The sequence below is a fragment of the Homo sapiens genome, chromosome 7 (assembly GCF_000001405.40).
Source record: "Homo sapiens chromosome 7, GRCh38.p14 Primary Assembly".
In the NCBI taxonomy this organism is placed as follows: Eukaryota; Metazoa; Chordata; class Mammalia; order Primates; family Hominidae; genus Homo; species Homo sapiens.
In genome coordinates, this window is record NC_000007.14 from 113,659,513 (window position 1) to 113,667,470 (window position 7,958).

Consider the following 7,958-nt stretch of genomic DNA (forward strand, 5'->3'; position numbering starts at 1 on the left):
GAGTACACTGGAGTCAGAGTAGTTGCTCTATTTAGGTGGCAAAGATAGTGAATGTTCCTAAAGGACTTGGATGCAAGGATGTAAAGTACACTCACCAGCAGATTGTTTCTTAGTTATTCTTAGAAGAAACATATGTGCTATCAAGGCCTGCCAGAAAATAATTTACATAGTTCTCTACAGCAGTAGGAAGCACTGATTTTCAATTGCAAACCAATACAATAAAAGAGAAAAATTAGATTAAGAATGAACATAAACATTTAAAAATATGTTCTCTTAAGAAAATATATTGGTTAATATTTTTCATTTGTGGTTGATATTTTAAAATGTTTTAAATTTTAAAATAAATGAACAATCTTCAATCATTTTTGAAATTGTGTGTTAGCTAAAGATATTATAAAGATAAAACATACCTTAATTTTGAGCTTAAAATTTTACTGTAAAATACATGCATTTTTAGGGCACTAAACACTTTCCTTTTAATTACTTATTTATAATTGAAAAATAAACATTGTATATATTTATGTACAACATGCTGTTTTAAAATATATATATACTGTGGATACAGCTAAATAGAGCGAATTAACCTCATATGTCTTTTTTTGTGGTGAAAACACTTCAAATCTATTATTTTAGCAATTTTCAATACAGAATTATGTATTTTAAATATAGAAATTGCAACTGGAGAAAGGGAAATATTTTAATATTAATTTTTAGTTTAAATTAATATTAAAATATGGTTAAAAACTCTTCAATTTCCATATAATTGTATGTGAAATTCAGTTTTATAATAACCTCATTACAAGTCTAGGCAGTGTAGTGACTAGGATTCAATTTCCAAACCAAATTTCGTTAATACCAATAATGAGTGCCTGCTATGTAAGAAATCACAGTACAAAGTAATTTACTATGTTTAAAAAAATCAACCCTCAAAACAACGCTGAGAAACCAATATAATGTCCAGTTTCAACAATGATGAATCTGACGTTCTGTGTAACTAAATTACTTCACAATGTTATTGCTATTAAACTTCAAAACAAGAATTAAAACTGCATTTTCTGATTCCAAATAAATGTACGATAATTTTCAATGGTAATGAAAATCTATTTTGATGAAACTATAGATGAAGATATATTAGTAAACGATTTTGTAAACTTTAAATTCTCCATCTTCAATACCTCTTTTGGATGCAACTGGCATTAGTAAAATAAATGAATGATCAGATAGTTGTAGATATGCGGCGTTATTTCTGAGGGCTCTGTTCTGTTCCATTGATCTATATCTCTGTTTTGGTAAACCTGAGAAAAACAAGCAATGGGGAAAGGATTCCCTATTTAATAAATGGTGCTGGGAAAACTGGCTAGCCATATGTAGAAAGCTGAAACTGGATCCCTTCCTTACACCTTATACAAAAATCAATTCAAGATGGATTAAAGACTTAAACATTAGACCTAAAACCATAAAAACCCTAGAAGAAAACCTAGGCATTACCATTCAGGACATAGGCATGGGCAAGGACTTCATGTCTAAAACACCAAAAGCAATGGCAACAAAAGACAAAATTGACAAATGGGATCTAATTAAACTAAAGAGCTTCTGCACAGCAAAAGAAACTACCATCAGAGTGAACAGGCAACCCACAAAATGGGAGAAAATTTTCACAACCTACTCATCTGACAAAGGGCTAATATCCAGAATCTAAAATGAACTCAAACAAATTTACAAGAAAAAAAAAACAACCCCATCAAAAAGTGGGCGAAGGACATGAACAGACACTTCTCAAAAGAAGACATTTATGGAGCCAAAAAACACATGAAAAAATGCCCATCATCACTGGCCATCAGAGAAATGCAAATCAAAACCACAATGAGATACCATCTCACACCAGTTAGAATGGCAATCATTAAAAAGTCAGGAAACAACAGGTGCTGGAGAGGATGTGGAGAAATAGGAACACTTTTACACTGTTGGTGGGACTGTAAACTAGTTCAACCATTGTGGAAGTCAGTGTGGCGATTCCTCAGGGATCTAGAACTAGAAATACCATTTGACCCAGCCATCCCATTACTGGGTATATACCCAAAGGACTATAAATCATGCTGCTATAAAGACACATGCACACGTATGTTTATTGCGGCATTATTCACGATAGCAAAGACTTGGAACCAACCCAAATGTCCAACAATGATAGACTGGATTAAGAAAATGTGGCACATATACACCATGGAATACTATGCAGCCATAAAAAATGATGAGTTCATGTCCTTTGTAGGGACATGGATGAAATTGGAAATCATCATTCTCAGTAAACTATTGCAAGAACAAAAAACCAGACACCGCATATTCTCACTCATAGGTGGGAATTGAACAATGAGATCACATGGACACAGGAAGGGGAATATCACACTCTGGGGACTGTGGTGGGGTGGGGGGAGGGGGGAGGGATAGCATTGGGAGATATACCTAATGCTAGATGACGAGTTAGTGGGTGCAGCGCACCAGCATGGCACATGTATACATATGTAACTAACCTGCACAATGTGCACATGTACCCTAAAACTTAAAGTATAATAAAAAATAAATAAATAAAAATAAAAATAAATGAATGAATTTAACAGTGACATGAGCCTTATAAGCCAAATTGGTATAAGCATTCCAAAATAGTAAATGCAATTTCTCTTTCTTAAGATCCTTTCCATATTATATCGTTTTACTGAACAAAATATTGAAAATTATTTAGAATATGTGATTTCTCTACACTAGAGAAAATATTAAAATTCTTAAAATAGGCCAGGCACAGTGGCTCACGCCTGTAATCCAACACTTTGGGAGCCAAGGCATGTGGATCTCTTGAGCTCAGGAGTTTGAGACCAGCCTGGGCAGACAGGTGAAATGCAGTCTCTAGAAAAAACACGAAAATTAGCCAGGCATCATAGTGTACACCTGTGGTCCCAACTACTCGGGAGGGTGAGGTGGAAGAATCACTTGAACCCAGGAGGTTGAGGTTTCAGTGAGCCATGAGTGTGCCACTGCATTCCAGTCTGGGTGGCAGAGAAAGACCCTGTCTAAAAAAAAATTAAAAATTCTTAAAATATTTCTTTGTTCTTTACAAAGTTTTATATAATCTAAATGTATTCCTGAATGAATATTCAATTTAATTCATTTCAACACACATTTATTGAGTCAACCATATGCCAAGGACTCTACCAGACACTTCAGGGAGTACAGTAGACTCCCTTATTCATGGAAGATATGTTCCAAGATGCCCAGTGGATGCCTGAAACTGCATAGTACCAAATCCTACATATACTATATATACATATCTATGATAAATTAATCTTTATCATATATGTATATATAGTAAAAAACAGTTGTTTATTTAAAACAACAATAATAACAATAATAAAATGGAACAATTATAACAATACACTGTAATAAAAACTTACATGATTCTGGTTTTCTCTGTCTTTCAAAATGCCTTATTGTACTCTACTCACCAATTTTTGGACCATGGTTGACAGTGGGTGACTGAAATTGTGGGTAGCAAAACCGTGAATAAGGGGGGACTACTATACAAAGATAAGTAAAACCATTCCTATACTGAAGATGTCTTGTTATGTCATATACAGAGTTAGACACCATGAGGTGTAGCAAAGAGCAGCTGCTATGGAATTGAGATCTTATCAAAAATACTAGAAGTCATGCAATGCTGAGGAATCTTGAGTAGAGTTGAGAGATACTGCTGAGCTTTGTGTCTCCAAGTAAAGTCCTAGAAGGCCATTGTTTAGACTAAGGACCACAAATTAGGACCTAGGACAAATGGAAAATAGACCACCCTAATAAACATAAAACAAAGCTTGACAGAATAAAGAAATATACTAGCAAATTAACTGTAAGTCAAAATAAAATCCAAAACACTTCAAAAGAATAATAAATAATACAGATTCTCTAGAAAATAAAATTGTGTCCAGCATAAAATCCAAAATTACCAAACACAAAAGAAACAGAAAATGGTGTTTTGAATTAATACACAAGGGCTTTAAAACTGCTATTATAAATATGTTTAATGACATAATGGAGAAAATAGACATACTCAATGAACAGATATGGAAGCTAAGCCAAGAAATAAAAAAGAAAAAAGAATCAAAAGGGAAATTATAGAAGTAAAAAGTGTAAGTGCTGAAAATTAAAACAGGATGGGATTTGTAGTAATAGGGCACTACAGCAGTAAGACTCAGTGAACTTGAAACCAAATTAATATAAATTATTCAAACTGAAGAAATAGAGATAAAATGACTAAAATAAATATATAGAGCCTCATTGAGATGTGTTTCTCAAATTTGGAGAATTTGCAAATTCCATTACTATTATTATTATCACCATCATTATTAGAAGTGAGGTCTCACTCTGTCACCCAGGGTGAAGTACAGTAGAACAATCACAACTCACTGTGGCCTTCAATTCCTGGGCTTAAGAGATCCTCCTGCCTTAGCCTACCAAGAAGCTGGGACTATAGAATTCACCACACCACCTGACTACTTTTTTTTCTTCAGTAGAAACAGCATCTTGCCGTCTTGCCTAGGCAAGCCCCAAACTCTTGGGCTCAAGTGATCTTCTGGCCTTGGCTTCCCCAAGTGCTAGGATTACAGGCATGAGCCACCTTGCTCAGCCCAAGCATTATGTTTTTCAACTATGTTTCTGCCCTATTCTCTCTGTCTTATATTTCTAAGAATTAAATTTTCCTTTGTTCATGGAAATTTATTTAGAAGACATGACTGTTTAAAGCAAAAAAAATTCTGTATTCCCAAATTTTTAGGTTGTAACACATGTAGTATTATGTATAACAACAGAAAAGGGGAGGGGTTGAAGTATAATGGTGCAAATTCCTATACATAGCTGAAGTAAGTCAGCAGTAACTTAAAAAAAATTGTGGCAAATTAAAAATGCATAATGTATTCGTTAAAGCTTTACATTAAAAATAAATATAACTAAAATGTCAATAGGAAAATTAAAAAAGCATACTAAAACTATTTTGTTAACACCAACAAAGGTGATAACAAACTAATACAGGAACAAAAAGTGAGATGTAGTGAACAAAAAACAAATAGCAAGAGGTAGACCTAAGCACAACATTTTCAATAATTATGTTACATGTAAATAGACAAAATTGACTAATTAATAGAGATGGTCAAACAAGATTTAACAAATAAGATCCCATAATATGCTGTTTACAATAGATAAAATTTAAGTTCAAATGCATAAATTAGTTGAAAAATAAAAAGATAAACCACGAACACAGTAAGCATTAGAGAGTTGGAGTGACTATATTAATATCAGAAAAACTGTGCTTTAAGATAAAAACAATTCTAGAGACAAAACAAGACTTTTTCTCATAATAATAGATGAATTAATGCATATACATTTAGCAGTCAAACATTGATATATTCCTGGAAACCTGAAAGATTGCATGCATGCAGAATGTAGGCCCAGGTCCTTTCTTGGTCATTCTTTCCCAGAATGATCCAGTCACTCAACTCTGGCTGAATGTGAGGTCATACAAAAGCAGGAAGTGAAAGCTTAGCTTGTCCTGTAAACTACTGAAGTATGAGGCATGAATTCTCACACAGATTCTCTTGGCAAAGAGTGGAAGACATATAGGAAAAGCTTTTAAACAAGTATTCCAATCAATAATTTGATGACCACTAAAGTATACTAGCTCAGAGGTGAACGCTAAGAAGCAAAGCTTAAAAAGAAAAAGGAAAAGAAAGCTAGCAGTGATCTTGGTGGCCCAAACATTGCAGGAAAGATAAAATCTACAAAATAACTTCAGACAGGATGCTAAAGAAGTAGGTAGTAACAAGAAAAAAAAACAAACAAAAAAAGGAAAAACCAGCAACATCAAAAAACTGTAAGTGGAGAGAGATATCTAATACCAGAAATGATACAATATATCATTTCAAAAGAGAAAGTATTAGAAAACAGTGAATGATAAAACAACTTATTACATATAAGTAGTCCTGGTTAGATTAATAAATGAGTTCTCATCAGAAACCATGGAGGTCAAAGAACAGTTGGCTGATGGGGAGACATCTTCAAAAATTTCAAAAGAATATGACAGTTAAGCTCTCCTTCAACATTAGGATAGCTTAACGAAGCTCTCCTTCAACATTAGGAAGAAATTAGGACATTCCAGATAAACAAAAACTGAAAGAATGTATCAGTAAAAGAGCTTCCCTACAAAAAATACTAAAGGGAATCTTTCAGGCTGAAAAATAATAATAGTGAAAATAAGTGAACACTAGATAATTACTGACACCCATAGTAAGAAATAAAGAGTACCTAAAAAGGTAAATATATAGGCAAATACAAAAGAGAATATAAATATATTTTTATTTGTAGTTCTTTTTTCTACCATCTACTTTTAAAGACATCAGTATAAAATAATAATTATAAAATTATATTGATCAGCTTATATGTAATGATGTAAATTATAGAAAATAATAGTACAAAGGAAAGGTGAGGAAAGGAGGTTTATTAGAAGATTGTAGTATTGAAATTAAGCTAGTATCAGTCCAAAATAGATTGTTTTAAGTTAATATGATAGCTGCCAGGACATACATAGGGATAATATTTCAAAAATATATACAGTAAAATAAACAACAAAGTACACTATAGATTATCGACTTAATGCAAAGAAGGAAGTTACTACACAAAAGAGTGTAGAAATTATAAAGGCATAAGGGCTATGAAAAACAAACAGGAAAATGGCAAACGTAAATCCTACCCCCTCAGTAATTACATTACATGTAAATGCATTAAAAACTCTAATCAAATGACAGACTAATATTAACATTTCACATATTTCAACTATTGTGTCTATAAGAAAACACTTTAGCTTTAAAGATATAACTTGTTTGAAGACTAACAGAAAAAAAAGACATACTATGTAAGCAGTACCATAAATAATCTAGAGTGGATACATTAATATCAGATAAAATATACTTTAAGACAGAAAATGTTCCTAGAAACTAAGAAAGACATTTTATAGTAAAAAGAGTATAAATCAAATTAGAATATATAAAAATTATAAACATATGTGCACCTAAAAACAGAACCGCAAAATACGAGAAGAAAAACCTAAGAAAATTGTACAGAAAAATAGACAATTCAACAGTAATATTTGAAGAGATAAATAACCCACTTCCAAAAATAGATAGAATGACTAGTAAAAAATCAACAACAAAATGAAATATTTAACCCAACTCTAAATCAACTAAACTTTACAGATATCTATGTAATGCCCAACAACAGAAGAATAAACATTTCTCTCAAGATCATATGGAACATTCTCCAAAATAAATTATTTACTAGGCTATAAAACAAGACTCAATGAATTTAAAAGACTGAAATTATGCAATGGATGCCCTCTAACAGCAATGGAATTAAATTAGGAATCATCAACATAAATAAATTTGAGAAATTCACAAATATGTGGAAACTAAAATAACACATTCCCAAATAACCAATGAGCCAAAGAAGAAATCAAAAGGAAATTAGAAAATACTTTCAGATGAAAGAAACTAAAATACAATGTATCAGAACTTATGGGATGCCACTTAAGCAGTGCTTAAAAGTAAATTTATCAAGGTAAATATCTATTTTTTTTTAAAAAAGATTGTAAATCAATAAACTAAACTTCTACCTTAAGAAACTAGAACATAGCCAGAGGCATCACACTACCTGATTTCAAAATATACTACAGAGCTACAGTAAGCAAAATAGCATGGTACTGATACAAAACAGACACACAGATGATGGAATAAAAATATAAAACTCAGAAATAAAACCACACACATACCACCATCTGATCTTTGACAAGGCTGACAAAAACAAACAATGGAAAAAGGACTCCCTATTCAAAAAAATGGTGCTGGAATAAATGGCTAGCCATATGGAAAAAC